The sequence below is a fragment of the Homo sapiens genome, chromosome 16 (genome assembly GCF_000001405.40).
Source record: "Homo sapiens chromosome 16, GRCh38.p14 Primary Assembly".
NCBI classification, from domain to species: Eukaryota; Metazoa; Chordata; class Mammalia; order Primates; family Hominidae; genus Homo; species Homo sapiens.
In genome coordinates, this window is record NC_000016.10 from 52,285,797 (window position 1) to 52,305,228 (window position 19,432).

General features: G+C 38.1%; 1 long non-coding RNA gene across 3 annotated transcripts in view, besides 1 other annotated feature; it reads right to left on the reverse strand.

Annotated features, from left to right (window-relative positions):
• Positions 1-11,210: 11,210 nt before the first annotated feature.
• The window catches only part of LOC107984901 (uncharacterized), an 86,734-nt gene continuing 78,512 nt past the window's right edge, over positions 11,211-19,432 (reverse strand). For all 3 annotated transcript variants that reach the window (XR_001752185.2, XR_001752186.1, XR_001752184.1), the window contains 2 exons: positions 14,013-14,070; positions 11,211-12,044 (listed from right to left, as the gene is read on the reverse strand). This is a non-coding gene — a long non-coding RNA (uncharacterized LOC107984901). The remainder of the gene's footprint in view (positions 12,045-14,012; positions 14,071-19,432) is intronic.
• Positions 11,815-13,014: an enhancer, noted in NCBI's record as "MED14-independent group 3 enhancer chr16:52331523-52332722 (GRCh37/hg19 assembly coordinates)". NCBI's record gives its function as "activates an origin of replication core promoter dependent on BRD2, BRD4, P300/CBP and CDK7 cofactors, and independent of MED14, by STARR-seq in HCT116 cells {active_cell/tissue: HCT116}" and the evidence as "EXISTENCE:reporter gene assay evidence [ECO:0000049][PMID:35650434]".

Here is a 19,432-nt window from a genome sequence, read left to right on the forward strand (position 1 = left end):
TTCTCCTCTATAATGTATGGTCAAGATGCTAATAAAAGGTATAGGGAAGAAATGAAGCAGTATGAGAGAAAGGGAGGAAAGAGAGTTAGGATAGGATGGTTATCTTAGGATACTTCAAAAGGCTTTCTAAGGAAGTTTCATTTTAACAGAGGCCTGAATAATTGAAAGAACACGTCATGAGAGGTCTGGAGAAAATATCCCATATAAATGAAAGGAATGGGAATGAGCTTAGAATTCTGGGGTAATATCACAGAAATAGATGGTTAAACAGGCACTGTGGAGGAAAATGACCCTTGGAAGGGGGAGAAGAAAGAATGTGAGATGTCAACAGGTTGGATGGATCATTCTTGTAGATACAGAATATTCCCCAATTAATAAACATGTGACTATGTGAGAGACCTATTGAGCTGTTTAAACTGTCAAAAAATGGGATGTGGAGTGGCTCGAACATTAATAGATGACTGTATCAAAGAGAAGTTGTGCTGACAGCATGCATCTCAAAGGAAATGGTATTTAGGGAAGAAGAAAGGGTCTAGAAAAAGCAATGAGAAAAAAAGAGAGAAAATGTTCTATCTCTAGGCTCTGGTCCAAGATTAAAAAATAAGAAAAGTCATCACTTGATAAGCAGACCAATGTGGAAAGCAGTTTGGAGATGTCTCAAAGAACTTAAAGCAGAACTACCATTCAACACAGCAATTCATTACTAGGTATGTATCCAAAAGAAAAGAAATCATTCTATCAAAGAGACACATGCACTTGTATGTTTATTGCAGCACTATTTGCAATAGTAAAGTGATGAAATCAGCCCAGGTGTCCATCAACGGTGGTCTGGATAAAGAAAATGTGGTACATATACACCATGGAATATTATGTAGCCACAAAAAATAATAAAATCATGTTGACTGCAGCAATGTAGATACAGCTGGAGGCCATTACCCTAAGTGAATTAATGCAGGAACAGAAAACCAGATACCACATGTCCCCACTTATAAGTGGGAGCTAAGCATTAGGTACACATGGACATAAAGATGAGAACAACATATGCTGGAAACTACTAGAGGGGAAGGGGGGAGGGGAGAAAGGGTTAAAAAACTACTGATTGGGTACTATGCTCACTACCTGGGTGAAAAGATCATTCATACCCAAAATATGCCCATGTAAGAAACCTGCACTTGTATCCCCAGAATCTAAAATAAAAGTTGAAATTATAAAAGAAAAAAGAAAGAAAGCACCACAAGCTGAGGTGGGAGAAAACTTTGAGAGGTGATGGATCGGTCTATGGCTTTAAAGGTGGTAATGGATTTGATATGGTTTGGCTGTGCCCCCACCCAAATCTCACCTTGAATTATAGCTCTCATAATCCCCACATGTCATGGAAGGGACCCTGTGGGAGGTAATTGAATCATGGGGGTGGGTTTTTCCTGTGCTGTTCTCATGATAGTGAATAAGTCTCATGAGATCTGATGATTTTATAAAAGGGCAGCTCCCCTGCACATGCTCTCTTGCCTGCCGCCATGAAGACTTGCCTTTGCTCCTCCTTTGCTTTTTGCCATGATTGTGAGGCCTCCCCAGCCGTGTGGAACTGTGAGTCCATTAAACCTCTTTTTCTTTGTAAATTACACAGTCTTGGGTATGTCTTTATTAGCAGCACGAGAACAGACTAATACAGGTTTCATAGGTGTATAATTATCCCCAAACTGGCTATGGTGTATACATTAAATATAGGGAGTTTTATATGTCAAATAAGAGTTCCACAGGCTACAAATGTGTCAGAATTCCATAACCTTACATCTATGATCAAGGAAAAGATTGGAGTTGATAATTATAAAGAGCCACCAGGATGATACACTCAAGAGATGAAGCATTCCAATGTCTTGCCTTTTCCTCCTTGACCCTTAGCACAGAATTTAATTGATATCCAGGTTTATTAGTTACTGTAATACAAATTTTAGAGGTGGACATGTTACCTAAATGGATATTGAGATTTCAGATTGCAGCTGCACTTTCAACTGATAGAAATGTTAGAAGCTGAAAGATAAAACTGACTTCTCACACCCAACAGTGCCTGTCAACTTGACCAAATGTCTTATACTGCAGTACCAAGGGCACATCACCCACATGCACTGACTTTTCTATTTTGGTGAACAGAAGGGGAAGCAGCACTATCAGATAAGATAACATGATGAATGTTCCTGGACTGCACATGTACTTTGTAAGTCCTGGATCTCTAAAAGTTCCTTGACTTAGCTGAAGACCCAGAAATTGGATGGAACTCGAGTTGAGTATGTGATGTGAAATGAATCAAGCTACCCCCTCCTTCAGTGCCTCAAACACATTGTTCAAACCAATCAGCTTAAATTGCAAAGCGAGTTGTCTCATCCAAGCTCACAAGGTTCATGCTTCTCCTTTAAATTTCAAAGACAGTTATTGACAGTGTGTGAAGAGCCCGGGTCCTTATCAACAATTGTTTCATTAAGAAATTTCATCCCTTGCAAAGGGGTGGACTGAACATCTGCTGCAGTTAGGAAAATATGGACAAAGAGTGGAACAAACAGAAGGAAAAGAAAATAGAAAGGTGCAAACCTAATCAGTACACCTGTGAAGTAATGAGGAAAGGGAGAGAAAGCATAATGAGGAGACTCTAGAAGTCACTCTACAAGGCAGACAGTGCCTTCTCACAATTCAAGTAATGATTCACTCCATGTTGGATATTTTTGTGCCTATATTGAATTATGCAGCTTAGTTCTGAGCACCACTAAAAAGGATTCATTCATTAGCAAAGAGCTTCATACACATGGATCCTGAACCAGATACGAGGCTTATTCAGCTTTCTCCTTGTGCTTATTGAAATCTATTACTTCACTATCCAAAAGAAATGATAAAATGACCAATGTAACTTCATAGTTAGTATGAGGATAGTTTTCTAGGTTCACTGTAATTAGTTTTTATACTGATATGTGCTGTGATATGCTCATTTCTGGTTCTCCTGAAACAATATAAATACATGTAGGATGTAATGCCTTTTTAGATGACATATCACCATTCCTTTTGCCCACTCATGTGTCCTCACCACCAAGAAAGGCTTTCTCAAGACTTTCTGGAAAGGACCGTATAAACAGAGACCATGGACATCTCAGCAGGAACCTGGGTAAAGAAAAGACCCCAGGAGTTTCCATGATGTAAATCATCATGGAAAATATCTTATGAATGCCTCATAAGACCTTTTGGCCTTGGTAGAACTCTTGGGAGCTGGGGGACATTTCATGATGGACCCTCACTCCATATTCAGTGATTGAGTTTCCTGTTCACTGGCAAATCATGTTCACTTATTGAAAAAAAAGAAATGTATCCTTTGAGTGTGTGTTCTGAGATCTATGCTTAATAAACATGTCAGATTCTTGTAAATCTGTAATGCACACACACACCCCTATATTTGTGTTCTATTTTAGAAGAATATACTGGAACCACACATACCAACCTATTAACAGAGGCTACATTAAAGAACTGAGAGAGAGTATGAGGCAAGAAGCAAAAAGGAGATTTTCATTTTGTTGCAATTTTTATTGTTTGAGGTAAAAGATTTTTGATAGGCAATCATTACTATTAAACTTTTTTAAAAGAGGAAAAAAACAAGAACACTTTGGATACTCATTTGCATTTATAATCCAATGGATTTTCCAACTAGCATGAATTTCTTGGCAGTTACTAGGTAGGTCGAGGTGTTAGACGACTCAGCACGTAAGTGTGGTCCAGACCACAGCCAACCATTTAAACAAGTAGGAAGTCATTCCCAACTCTAAAGAAACTGGGGCCTTTATTTCTTCCTTTCCTTTTCCCTTTTCTTCCTCCATTTCACTTCCCCCCCTCTTTTTTTTTCTTTTTTTGAGACAGAGTCTCACTCTGTCACCCAGGCTGGAGTGCAGTGGTGCGACCTCGGCTCACTGCAACCTTCACTTCCCTTTTATTCTTTCTTTCCTTAAACTAAATCAGTACAATTACGGTGGCCACTCCGGTTTCATAATCAATATTTTTGTTGAAAACATAAGTCACATTCAGAGAAACAACACAGTCATTCATTAAATATGGAGTGAGGGTCCTTCATGGGCAATGTGAAAGGCACTGGGGATACGGAGGTAAAGAGGGCTGACTCAGTCCCATGGTGTCCTTGCTCTGATGGAGACCATATTCTACTGCAAATCTAGGTTGAAAATTCTGAGTTGAGAATAGGAAACTTCTAGAATAAAGAAATGTGCTCATCATGACTTGCTCAATTTTGCCTACATGAACGAGTAAAGGAGGCACAGAGGATCCGCACCAGACACGTCAATCTGCTTGCTACTATAGGAAATTTTGCCTTTTATGCTCCAATCAATGCATACATGGCCTCTGTTCATGCCCTGGTCATGGGGCCAGCACTGGGTGGTTCCCACGAGGGGCTATCTATGGTTGGGGCAAGGCTGGCTGAAGGCCTAATATGCAGCTTGACTGAAAGAAAAGCATTCTGGGCATACAGATTCTCTCCATCAGAAATCCAAATCTAAAAAGGACTTTGCAGAAAGATAACAGGATAGAGGGAAGTAACCCTTGGGGTGGGGCTGAGTCCCACTAATAACAGAGCATTGCAGGGAAGAGCTTTAAGTCCTGTGGTAAAGAGCTCAGACTTTGGTGCTCGGTATTTTTTTCTTTTTTAATGCAATGTCCAAGTTGCCTTTGCCAGAAGACCCTGCAAGTTCTCTCTGTCCTGATGGAGTAAGAAGCACAAACTCAAAGTCAACCAAAAAGAAAATCAAATATACATATTGTATTCATATACATGTTATCTATTTATTGATGGACCCTCATTCCATATTCAGTGAGTGAATGTGTTGTTTCCTTGGATGTGACTTATGTTTTCAATTAAAATATCAGTTAGGCAACTGGAATGGCCACTATAATTGTACTGACTTATTTTAAAGAAGAAAAATTCTCATTTCCATGTATCAGAATTTAGGAAAAACATGTAATTATATCTTCTGAGGTAGATAACATCTGAAGGAAGAATAGTCCAAAAGAAGGAAAAATAGTCCAGTGATGCCAATTCACTGTTCTTCTTTAGAAACTGAAGAAAGCAATGTGTATGTAACATAATAAAGGACCCCAATTTAGTTTATATAGAACTTGAATTAATGAGAGCAGTTGTTACTTTTGTTTTATTTAAAAAGTACCTATCCAGCACTTTGGGAGGCTGAGGTGGGTGGATAGTGGATCATCCGAGGTCAAGAGTTCAAGACCAGCCTGGCCAACATGATGAAACCCTGTCTCTACTAAAAAAATAAAAAATTAGCCGGGTGTGGTGGTATGCGCCTATAATCCCAGCTACTCAGGAGGCTGAGGCAGGAGAATGGCTTGAATGGAGGAAGCTGAGGTTGTAGTGAACTAAGACCATGCCTCTCCACTCCAGCCTGGGAAACAAGAACGAAATTCCGTCTCAAAAAAAAAGAAAAGAAAAAGAAAAAAGTTACCTATCAGGTTCACCTCCTATGAGGTAGGGCTTAACAACTGTTAACATTCAGTCCTCAAAACTATACCATTCAATTGACACAGCTATTTTCTCCACTATACATATGAGAAAACAAAGGCACAGAAAGGTTACAGAATTTCCCCAGGGTCAAACAGCTAATAAGCACCAAAGTTGAGATTCAAACCTGGGTCTGAACCCATACTTTTAACCCTCACACTATGCAATGCCTTTGCTACATGTGGGACAATGTTGTATTCCTCCATATCTTCCAAGGTCAAATATAAATAATACCAACCAAAATCTGGGATCATTTTCTATGGAGGAAGGGAGGCACTGAGCAGGTTACCACAGGTTAGAGAATTTGTTCGTTCTTGTGTGAAATCTCCCATGGAATCAACACATTCTATTATTATCTGCCCAGGATGGAGCTGGATACACTTCTTACAGTAGACATGATGATATCCAAGATCCATCTCTTCTCTCAGAGTTTGGTTTTCTATTCATATTCCAAAGCTGGCATTAGCAGACTCAAGAAGGGGTCCGTTGTTCAGTTTTTAACAAGATTTCAAACTCCTACTTAAAGCGTTCAGCTTTAAATCATTTTTCTTTTATTCATTCTTCAGAGATTTCTGAGGGATTGCCAATACTTGACTCTGCTTTGACAAAGCTATCCTTGGATATCAGATTAGATAAGATGATGAATTGTACTTAAAACTCCACATAAGTTAAAAGCCCAGGAGTTTTTGCCAGAAACTTTCTCAAACACAGTTAAATCTCATAACTTGCAAAGAATGGAGGGAGTTGAGTTTGCCTATGCAATAATCCAATTCATTAATGCTGTGGCTGGGATTACTGAAACCAACAATAGGAAAATGTTCTACATTATTTCCCCCAAAGAAGCCTATACAGCTAGCAGAAATCCCCCAGGTTATGAGAGGAAAACATTTAATTCTAAATGGAAGTTAACATCGACATTATGACCAGGGATAAAATTTCTATACTTCATAGATTCTACAATGAGTATTTTCACCTTTTCACCTCCCGGAAATTGGAATGCATATCATAATCACTGTTGGCCAGGTGTCAGTCATGAGGGAGTTGTCACTGTCTGCATATGGGCATCGACATGTGCAGAATGGCTTGCAATGGCTTGCAAAAAAAAATTCTGAGACAATAGCAAATTCTCCTACAGTTCATCACCAAGGTGCTTAGTGGTAGCGAACTTGCAGACACTGACAACCCAGGTGAAACAGTATTCAAAAGTGCAGGTGTTTTAAGAATGTCCCAACAAATGAATTTCACTTTTATTTCTTTTTCTACAAAGATGTGTCTAAATAAGTTTTAACTAAATTTTAATAGGTAAAAAGTCAAGGTTTTAGGAATATCCCAACACATTTATTTCATTTATATTTCACCTTTCTAATAAAAGTGTGTCCAAATGTGTTTAAAATAAATGTTTTATGAGGCAAAAAGTAAAAGTTCTGAGTGATAAGAAAGCAGTGAGCCTATGTAATTGGCAGTCTTTTTCTTTAAGTGTCTTAATCCTACATAACATACTGGTTTCCCTTTAATCAGTGAGGTCTTAGATACAATGAAATATGATAATTATCAGGTAGTATAATACTATGTTTATGAACTCTGATTTTGATGGCAGATAAGCTGGGCACAACTTTTGAGCTCGACAACATATTCCTTCAGTTAGTTTTCTCAAATTACTCATCTCGAAGCCTCAGTTACTCATCTAGAAAATTCAGGTGCCTATTTCATAATAGTGATGACAATGAGAGAATGCATGTTGGACACTTAGCAGAGGGCCCACAAACTCTTAACATGTGAGTGGCTCTTGATTGTTCGCTGTCTTTGGCCAGAGACTCAAAAACATTTCTTTTTTTCCATCTTCCTTGTGAACATGAGGCTCTCAGAGAACTGTGGTCGATTTTCTTATCATTTCTGCAAAATCATTTTAGTGGACAGGGAGGAGAAAAATCCTCTAATAAAAAATCCTATCACTAAGTTGAGCATACATAAGCAGTACAACCCTCTCTCCTCACTCTGAAAGGTATATTTATAGCTGCAGAGGGCAGCTGAGGTCACCAGGAAGTGGATGGAAGAAGAGTCAGTTCATCATGGAGTGAACATTAACCAATTAGGAGCAAGGACCAGGAAGGAGTCAGACAGACAATTTCCCCCTCTCTTCTCCATGATGTGGTTCCTCCTTGCAGTCCTTCTAGAAAAGTCCAGAGTGCCAAGCAAATATACTGACTCTGGGGTCCTGCTGTGCTGCATCGTGGCTCATTGTGAACCAGTGGTCAATCCAGGGACTCATCTTTGTCAATGGTGCATCATTTCCTTTCCCTCCCCTTTGCCACTGGGGGCTTGCACTCCCAAATATAATATCAGCACTTCAATCCATATCCCTGCCTTCTAGACCCTTAGCACACCCCCATGACACACATGCTGGTGAGGATGTTGAGTTCATGTGAAGCCTTGGTAATTTTGGTTGGAAACATGTTTCTAGAATCAAGGCAATGTGGTTTGGTCAAATTCAGATGAGATTGTGGAGCCGCGTGTCCTAGATTCCAGCTTTGGCTCTAGACCTTATAAACCAACCCTGTGGCCTTTAATCTCTCTCATCAGTCTAATGGAAATCATATTACCTGCCTTCCTTATCTGGAAATGTCATCATCAGGATCAAGAGAGATAAGGTTTGAGAAAGTAATGTGTAAGCCATTAAGTAGTACACAGATGATCATTACTGCTGTCAAACAGGAATTTGGTGCAATGAACTCTGTTGCCCTTTTCTTTCAACACAAGTGTTAAACGTTTATAAAATTATGAATACTTTATGTACTGCATTGTATTAGTTTCTTAGGGCTTCGGTTACAAAGTACAGCACACTGGGTGGCTTGAAACAACAGGAATTTTTTATCTGATGGTTCTGTTGGCTACAAGTCCAAAATCAATGTAGTGGCAGGATCATACTTTCTCTAAAGACTAGAGTCTCCCCCTTTTCAGCTTTTAGTAACCCCAGGTGTTCCTTGGGTGTGGCAGTGTAACCAGTTCTGCCTCTGTTTTCACATGGTCATCTCCCTGAGCATCTCTGTGTCACCAAGTCTCAATCTAAGGACACTTCTCCTTGGATTTAGGGCCACCCTAATCCAGTATGACCTAATCGTAACTGGATTATAGCAGCAAAGGCCTCATTTCTAAATAAGGTCACATTCACAGGTAACTGGGTTTAGGTCTTCAACATATGGATCTATGAAGGTAACATCATGAAGAGAAGCTCAATTCTTTTTAACAAGCAAAATAATCTCGCTCTTAGAAATTTCTCATCATCCATGCTAAAACTGCCATGTTTTTAGTTCAAAATCTCCTGAGCCAAATATATCAAAACTTAGCTCTATAACAGTCATTTAAGTCTGTGCCATCCTTTAAAGACTTTTCAACATTCCAATAACCAAATCATCTTGGGTAAAAGGAAAAGAGGAAAAAACGGAGAAAGGAATTCACATTCTCTTTTACATTTACAGTCTGTTTCATCATCCAAGAGTGCAATAATCGTTTTATTTAATCATCACAAACAACCTATAAACATTGTTTTTGTTTGTTTTATAGATGAGCAAACTGAAGCTCAAATAGTAAAGGGTCATGCCTAAAGACTCAGTGTAAATGGGAGAACTTTGGACTCTAATGCTCATGTTTTGAATCAAAACACCAAGATGGCTCTTCTTATTTTCAATTTAATTCTCAAGTAAACGCTGTGTGTAAAAACTATCCCATCATTTTAGCAACTCAACATCAAAGATATAATCTGATCAATGAAGGATGATCCTCCAATCTCTTCACACTCTAGTGCCCAAGTTTTTTGGTTGAGGAATCTCTCACTTAGGAATCCTCCTATACACTGAATCTGAATGGCCCCAAGTGCTGGGTTATAGCTACCTTGCACCTCAGTCCTTGGTCATTCATTTATTCATCCATTTAGTGAATATTGTTGGACATCTATGTGCTATGTATAGGGTTCCAATAATGACTAAAACAAGCCCTTATGGAGCTTACAGTTTCTTGGTGGCTAAAGCATTGGCCCTGCAGGTCAAATCAGCATTTCACTTTCAATGCTAAGGATGGAAATGACTTTGGTCAAATCAACCTAAAACTGAAAAGCCAAGAAGGAAAAAACGATGTTTATATAGTTGATGTGAATCAGTTCAATCAATTCCTACAGGTCATAGACTTCTCCTTGTCTCAGAGCCCAGTAAATATTACTGGAGAGAGAGAGAGAGAGAGAGAGAGAGAGAGAGAATGAAGAAACTGCCAAAAAATGAACAAAAGAGGGAATGAAAGGAATGTCCATCTATGCAAGCAACTCTTGGTTGCAATATTACCTTTTTCCATATCACAGAGGATGTTTGAAGAAAAATATTACTTCTAAGTGCATAAGCACTGACCTGCTTTAATAATTCAGATCAGAGTACAGGTTCTAAGATCTTCCAGAATGTTGCATTAAAATCTAAGATACACAAGGCAGGAAAAGGTATAGTCAAATTCGAGGGCACAAAAGTCAGCCACCATGGGTGGGCTGGAAAGGGGTGAGGGGAGTTCTCCCTGCAAAGTGCCAGGGAGAAGGTTTTGCTGATGCCAGAGAACAATGGAGACAGGGAAGAAGTAGGGAGAGTCAGAGGCACCTCAGATTAGTTTGTTTTTCCTTCCTATAGATTTCTATGTGTTTGAAATCTTTGAGACCTTTTTTCCCCTTTGTCTTCTGAAACACATGAAAATGTTCAGTGTAATGCATTTGTCATCAAGGCAGATAAAGCACATCTGCAGTCAGCCAAGAATAATGTAGCAATGGCCCAATTGTGTCTGGGTCTGCATTTGACTAGCTGTATGCAGTTCTCCAACCTGGACAAGGTCAGAATGAGTTCCTATCACCAGGCTTTATCAAGTAGCCATGAGTCTGGACAAAAGCAAATCATGCGTGTTCACTGCATCATTGTTTGCAATGCTGAAGACTGGGAGTGGCCCAAATATTACTGGAAGGGGAATTGATACTTACACTATGGTGAATTCAAATAATGCAGCTCCATGCAAAGCGTTCAGGCAAAACAGCTAGATCCATATGGAGTAACATGGCTAAATTGTACACATTTAGTGACACATGTAACTGTAATATAATTATTTATGTGTGTTTTATTTATAAATTATATACATGTTCAATCATACTAGTATATTTTATACCTTCTAAAGTATATACTAGATGAAAATAAAAAAGAATGAGATGAAAAATAAAAATGAAAATATTTTTTTGTTGACCCCAGTGGATTATGTTGCAGACATAAAATTTGAAGACCATAGCTCTCATATATAGTGTTAACTGAAAGGGACACAGTATCTAGCATTTCCTCTAGCAGAGGCATTGGCAAACGTTTTCTATGAAGGGCCAAATAGTAAATATTTTCAGCTTTTGGGCCAGACAGTCTCTGTCACAACTGAAAATACTCAACTCTGCCCTGGTAGTGTGAAAGTGGCTGTGGCAATATGTAAAGAAATGCACATGGCTGAGTTCCAATAAAACTTTGTTTACAAAAAGGACTGCCTTTAGAATTTCACCTGTGGGTCATAGTTTTTTGACCACTGCTCTGGTAAAATATCATTTGTATAAAAGCCAAAAAACACACGCAACTTACTTGAAGTTTTCACAACTGTATAAATGTTTAACACTGAACTTGTATTGACAGAAAAGGGGAACAGAGTTCATTGCATCAAATTCCTGTTTGACAGCAGTAATGGTCATCTGTGTACTACTTAATGGCTTACACATTACTTTCTCAAACCTTATCTCTCTTGATCCTGATGATGACATTTCCAGATAAGGAAGGCAGGTAATATGATTTCCATTAGACTGATGAGAGAGATAAAAGGCCACAGGGTTGGTTTATAAGGTCTAGAGCCAAAGCTGGAATCTAGGACACGCGGCTCCACAATCTCATCTGAATTTGACCAAACCACATTGCCTTGATTCTAGAAACATGTTTCCAACCAAAATTACCAAGGCTTCACATGAACTCAACATCCTCACCAGCATGTGGGTCATGGGAGTGTGCTAAGCGTCTAGAATGCAGGGATATGGATTGAATTGTTGATATTTTATTTGGGAAGTGTAAGTCCCCAGTGGTGAAGGGGAGGGAAAGGAAATGATGCAAAGTATCTATGGAGATGGCCTCCTGGATTGACCACTGGTTCACAATGAGCCACGATGCAGCACAGCAGGACCCCAGAGTCAGTATATTTGCTTGGCACTCTGGACTTTTCCAGAAGAACTGTAAGGAGGGACCATATCATAGAGATGAGAGGGGAAAATTGTCTGTTTGGCTCTTTCCTGTCCTTTGCTTTCCATTGATTTCAATGGGATAAAACAACATAGAAATTTCAGTAATCTTATCCTATAAATTTTGGTAATCTCCATTAGTGCTGTGGTTCAATCTGAGAAGACTATCACCGGGGCTTCTGTTATGATCCCATGGGCAGTTTCTTCAATCACCTACAGGAGATAAAAGGGTGAGTGTTATAGGATGAAAATATCACCCTGCTTTGTATATGTGTGTATTTTTAAATGAAACCTGTAGAATTGAAAAATTCAGAAAGTTATAAAGGATGTTGTTATAATTATCAGTGTATCTAATGGATGATGTCAGAACTATTGAAGTATCTACCTTATTTGTGATAATATATATTTTAAGATAATAAAACATGACAGGTAAAGATGAAGTCTCTTATGTTTTCCTCCCTATGCTTTCTTTTGAGGCAGCTGTTCCCATGAGTCTGAATGTATATAGTCCATGTTTCATACTTTTCCTATTATGTGTTTATGTTTGTGTATAGATATCTACACACATATAGTAGGTGTATATATACAAGGGAATTTCAAAAATTTCAAAGAAACTGCATATTGTAAATAAATTATGCATGCATGGAGTTTGAAGTTTTTTAGCAACAAAAGAAACTCATGCTAACTTGTAATAACATGTCTGAACAGGATCTACTATGAGGCACTAAGAAGGATAAGACATCAATTTGAAAAGAGCCCCCATCAAAGCAACAGAATTCTGCAAAAATTGAGTCAAGAAGAAAATATTAAATTTATGGTGAAGCTGAAGTGGAAAAATGGGGAAATCACTGATCCTTTATAAAAAGTTTGTGAGGACAGTGCCCCCAAAGAAATCAGCAGTTTACAAATGGATAAGTCATTTTAAGAAGGGATGAGATGATGTTGCAGATGAAGCCCACAGCAGCAGACCATCCACACCAATTTGCAAGGAAAAAATTTATCTTGTTCATGCCCTAATTGAAGAGGACTGATTATTAACAGCAGAAACAACAGCCAACATCATAGGCAGCTCACCTAGTCCAACTTACACAATTCCAACTGAAAAATAAAAGTTGAGCAGTTTCCCTCAATGGGTAACAAAACATTTGCACCCAGGTCAGCCACAGACAGAAAGAGAACCTTCAATGGAAATTTTAAACAAGTGGGATTAAGATCCTGAAGCATTTCTCTGAAGAACTGTAGCAGGAGACAAAACATGGCTTTATCAGTACCATCCTGAAGACAAAGCACAATCACAGCAATGGCTACCAAGAGGTGGACATGGTCCATTCAAAGCCAAAGCAGACAAGTCAAGAACAAAGGTCATGGCAATCATTCTTTGGGATGCTTGAGGCATTTTGCTTGTTGACTTTCTGGAGGGCCAAAGAGCAGTAACATCTGCTTATTATGAGAGTGTGTAGGGAAAGTTGGCCAAAGCTTTAGCAGAAAGAAACCCAGGAAAGCTTCACCAGAGGGTCCTTCTCCACCATGATGATGTTCCTGCTCATTCCTCTCATCAGACAAGGGCAATTTTGCAAGAGTTTTCACAGAACATCTTTGGGCATCCACCTTACAGTCCTGATTTGGCAACTTCTGACTTCTTTTTGTTTCCTAATCTTAAAAAAAAACCCATAAAAGGCCCCCAATTTTTTCTCAGTTAATATTGTAAAGAAGACTGCACTGATGCGGTTAAATTCACAGGACCCTCAGTTCTTTAAGGATCGACTAAGTGGCCAGTATCATTACTTACGAAACTGTCTTGATTTTGATGCAGCTTATCTTGAGAAATAAAGTTTATATTTTATATTTTAATCCTTTAATTCCATTTTTTCACAAACTTTTCAAAGTCCTTTTGTATAATAGTGTGTAGAGTACATATATATATTGTATGGTAGAGTGTATATATATACAGTGTGCACATATATGTATTTATGTGTATGTATGTGTTTGTGTGTGTGCATATATAAAATACCTAAATAAGAGAAAAACTCAAATGCTTAACAACATGATACTATTCAAATAAATTAAAGCCAACCCACACTATGAAATATTACATAGAAATTTAAAAAATTATAGGCAGAACTATACATTCATGAAAATATGTGAGTTTTGTTATTAAATAAACCAAAGCAAGTTACTGACCAGTAAGTATTGTCTGATGCCATTTGTTTACCATGCTTCTTACATTCATAGAATGTATCTAGAAGGATTTAAAAGAAATTATTTATTAGTAGTTTGGGATTGGAAAGTAGACAAGTGGATAATTTTTTTTCCTTTCATCTTTTACCCCTTAAAAATAGCACATATTATTTTTCTAATTAGAAAATACCAATAAAAAGAAAGGGCTGCAGCAGTAATTCCCTCAGTAAAAGCAGCAAAAGAGACACTCCAGGCTTGAGGCAGGGGAAGGAGCCTTGTAGAATGACATCAAAGGGTGGTACAGTTCTGGGAATCAAGAGAAGTGAATTTGAGTCCTGCTTCTGCCACGAAATATCAGGTGTCCCTGGGCAAGGTAAGCTCACCTGGCAAGGAGGTTCATCCCTGATCAGTCACCTCCCTACACTGATTTCTCTCCCCACCACCCACCATGGCCTGTAGACCCTTGCTCATTCTAGGTTGCTTTGTCCCTTTGTGCTTGGACTCAAGCCTGTACTCCTGCCTGGATGCTTTCTGCCAATCATTAGCCTGACTAACCACAGATACCATCACCCCAAAGAAGCTGAGGACCACCCTCTTGCTTCCCAGGGCACCTGCTGCATTCTGCCACTGTGCAGGGGCATTGTCTGTGCACCACCTGCCTCTCCCCTTATGCCACCCTCATGCCCGAACTCTCAGCTCCTAGAAGGCAAGCATCTATGGCTGATTTACCTTTGTGCCTGGCCTAGGGTACACTTTAGCAAAGGTACTTTTTGGCTAAATATTTAAACGTTGTTCCAGTCACCTTCTCTATAAAATGAGGGAGGTGAATCATTAATTCAATTCAGCAGGTACTTACCAACACCTATACCCTCCCAGGCACCTTGTCTGACTCTGGGAAGTCCAGAAAGGTAGGTGTAGCCCTCTAGTAAGGAGGATGAGCTAAGGCCCCTAAAATCCAGTTTTCTGATTCTCATAACCAAAATTTAAAAGATATGCATTCAATTCTTGGCTTTGCCCTGACTTGTTGAATAATCCTGGGAATATCATTTTAGCTTCATGGGGAAGGTCCTAGTAGGAAACACATTGAATAAGGTAGCCTGAACTCACCAAGGCAAGGAGGAAGAGAGTACTGCTTTTCCTGATATACAATACACTGTTACAGGGTTTACTGCTCTCTAATCATGCAATCTACATAATTTATCCTTTTAAAATGAGCCATAATCCCCAAAGAGTGCTTCCCTATTGATATCAAACATAAGAGCGTATTTTTAAGGCCATGGCAACATCACTGCTATACATTAACCTACACAAAATCAATCCATTTCCAAGTTAAGCACAGCCCTAAAAAATCACTAATGGAGCTCAGTGCAGTCTGTTCATGCGATGTGCAGTCAGGAATCATGCATAATGTAATAGTGCAAATGCTAAAAGCAGCTCCCACAAACTAATTTAATCTTGGTTTAATGGACGTAGGGAACTGATCCTCAAAAGAGACTGCCAATGAGATTCTTGGGGGCCTCCCAGCAGCCTGAGAGTAAGCTCCAATATTAGCTTTTGGTTAGTACCCTCTTTCAACTAGCGTCTATTAAAGGCAATCCAATATGGTCATTGAAATTATGAATAACTTGTGTCGATTTTCATGGTGTATGTAATAGAGATGTCTTCCATGTGTTCGTGTAGATCTCTAAGATTGAAATCTTGTACTCTGTACCTTTTAGTCCATGTGCTTCCACCTCAGTCAAGAGAATCTTTTACACTTTGGAAGATCAGAAAGCTAAATGATATCCACAGCCCTCAGGCCATGCCGGAGAGACAGTGTCTGAACAAAGATCGAGGATGTGAAACTTGTATACAATCAAAGGGATTAGAATCACACTGCTGTAGCTTGTCTCCCAGGGACCTTCAAAGCTCCTATATATGCACCTTCCATGTCACATGATTAGAGTAGGAAGAGCATTTGCCCACACAAACATGAGCTTGTGTGAATGCACACACAAACACACACACACACAAAGACTCTTCACCACCCATGAGTCAGGTTTACATCAGATGTTCTAACATCAAATCTAGCTAAATGGATTGTAGAATATCCAAATTTAGGGACCTTGGAATACATTTAGTTCAAGCCACATATTTCAAATTAATGTGCTGATTGGCTTTGGACTTTTACATGAGAAAAGCACAGGAAAGGAAGCGTTGATGGGCAGACAGAATGTACAATGTACTGGTCAAAGTGTGGCAGCAGAGGGTGGGACCTGGAAATGGGAAGAAGTGATGAAGGAAGGTTTAGGGGATGATATCAAAATTTTGCAAGTCAAGGGAAAGTGGAGGAAATAAGAAATAGAAGTTAAATAATGTTATTTAGAGTTAGAGAGGCAACTAATAGAATGTAATTATATAAAGTTCAAACAGGAGGAGGAAATCAAGGGGACAGGTCAGCATGAACACGCTGAATCCTCATCTTCCATATTAAGGAGTTAATAGATATTGACTGAGTGATAAATCAAGCAATGGAGTTGTGAAAGTAGCTGCCAGAAGAACTAAAAACAAATGTTATGTAGATTTTGTCTCTATAGTGTAGAACTGGAGGTGATGAGGAGTTATTTTCTTATGTGTCTATGTCATTTAATTTGTTATAATGCATCAACTATAATTTGATTTTTAGAATTTAAGTGAGTGCTCCTGGGAAGCTGAGGTGAGAACAGGGAGGGACAGAACAAGACAATGTTGGTTTTCCTTAAAAGCAGCTGGACTATTTGTGAAAAACCATGAGCATGTATAGTATGATGCCTCATTTTCTTTTGTTTTTTCATTTAACTTTTATTTTAAGTTCAGAGGTACATGTGCAGGTTTGTGATACAGAAAAATGTATGTCACCGAGGTTTGCTGTACAGATTATTTTATCACCCAGATATTAAGCCGAGTATCCATTAGTTGTTTTTCCTGATCTTCCCCCTCCTCCTACCCTCCACCCTCCAGGAGGCCCCACTGCCTGTTGCTTCTCTCTGGGTGTTCATGTGTTCTCATCATTTAGCTCCCATTTATAAGTGAGAACATGTGGTTTTTGGTTTTCTGTTCCTGCATTAGTTTGCTAAGGATAACAGCCTCCAGCTCCATCCATGTCCCTGCAAAGAAGGACATGATCTTGTTTGGTTTTATGGCTGCATAGTATTCCATAGTGTTTATGTGCCACATTTTCTTTATCCAGTCTAGTATTGAAGAGCATTTAGGTTGATTCTATGTCTTTGCTATTGTGAATAATGCTGCAATGAACATACTCGTGCATGTGTCTTTATGTCAGAATGATTTGTATTCCTTTGGGGATATACCCAGTAATGAGATTGCTGAGTCGAATGGTTATTTCTTTTTTCAGGTCTTTGAGAAATCACTACACTGTCTTAACACAATGGTTGAACTAAATTACACTCCCACCAACAGTGCATAAGAATTCCTTTTTCTCTGCAACCTCACCAGAATCTGTTATTTTTTGACTTTTAAATAACAGCCATTCTGACTGGTGTGAAATGGTATCTCATTGTGGTTTGATTTGCATATCTCTAATGATGATGCCTTATTTTCTCTGTACAATTGAAAACAAATTGAAAATTTACACAATAAACTTTTAACTGTGAATATCTCTAGAATAATATTTTAACACACTTTCTATGATAATAAAAATGTTCTATTTCTGCACTGTTCAATATAGTAGCCACTAACCACAGGTGACTTGAGCAGTTAAAATGTGGCTAGTGCAACTAACTTATTTTTAATGTAATTCATTTTAATTAATTTAAATTGAAAAAGTGACATGTAGCTAGTAGATACCATATAGGGTAGCACAGCTAGAGAATCAGATGGAGGTGTACAAAAGTTTTTTATATCACTTTCTACATTTCTGTATTGTTTGAAATTCTTTCAATATGAACATAATACTTTTATAATTTAAAAATCCCAGACCTTTTTAATTTGAAACAAAAAATAAAAGGAAGAAAAATGAAGCAACCATAAAATAATGCATTGGAAAGTAAGAATTCTACGAAGTGTATTAAAATATTCTGAGAAAAGTAACCAAATAGATAAACAAATACATAGTCTTTGGGATGCCTTTGATCTCTGAACTTTTACATGATGCAAAATGCAAAGCAAATATCTTTGCATCATCTCCTTATACTGTAAGCACTTAGATTTCAGCTCTCTCTGCTCTGCTAAGCTAATTACTATTCTTTCTTCTCCTTTCAGTCTTTCAAAAACACAGTGACATCTCTTATCTGCAGCCCTTCCTCTCTCATTTTATGTCTTTGTAGGTATAGATCTAGATACATGGTTATATAATTTTTATTCCTTTACTCCCATGTGAGTAACAGAGTATAAATATACACGTATGTTCTATTTACCATGTTTGCTACAACCCAAGAGGAAGAAACTTACCAAGGTTTAGTGGCAATATGACCTAGATCTTCTAATCCCTACACCTGACCCCTTTCCATTTATCAAGCTGTTACACCATCTGGAATCTGATCATCTCTAATTATCAGACAAAACAATGACTCTGCTACTTTTTAGCTATCGAACTTCAATAAGTCACTTAATCAGCTTCCTCAACTATAAAATTAAAATAAACATTGAACTGATCTCATAGGGTTTGAAATGAGATATTGCACAGGAAGTGCTTAGCCCACACATGTCAAATAGGAAGCACTTAATAAATGGTAGCTATTGTTTTTTAAAATATAACAAAACTAAGAATTCTCTGCCTTGACTATACAAGGCAAGAGATTTCCAATCTTCTAATACTTAAAATATCAATCTATCCTTTCTCTTTTCTTTTGTGGCCTGCCAATCACTACAGACTTGTTATAAAATTATAGTTACTTTTAGAGAAATGGCAGCCAGTACTAAAAAGATGAAAAATTATGGTGGTAGGCAGTATTCCTCAATCCAATATGACTTATATAAGCAGGAAATGGGTCGTTTGATGGTGTAGCTCATCTCCTTACACAGAGTAGATACATCCAGGTTAAAAAAAATTGCATCCATCATACGTGAAGAGGCCATTAGAAGAGATCCTTGTCCAGGTCACAAAATGGTGACCATTCCCAAGACTATGTTTCTTTTTCCATTTTTTTTGCTTTTGAAATATTATAATAGCTTTCTTCTTATTAGAAAAGTAACACTTACTCATGGAAAATAATTCAGAAAATGAGGGTAAGAGTAAATATTATTCACAGTTCTACCACCTAAAATCACCAAGTATGAACATTGTTAAAATTTTGGTGAATGAAAATTCAGAAAAGATATGCATGTATGTGTAAATCTAAATCTAATTAAGTCCACATAAATATATACAACATAATAGGTATGCAAATATAATTAGACATGATGTAATTATAAATCATAATTCCAAGTTCTAAAAATATAAAATA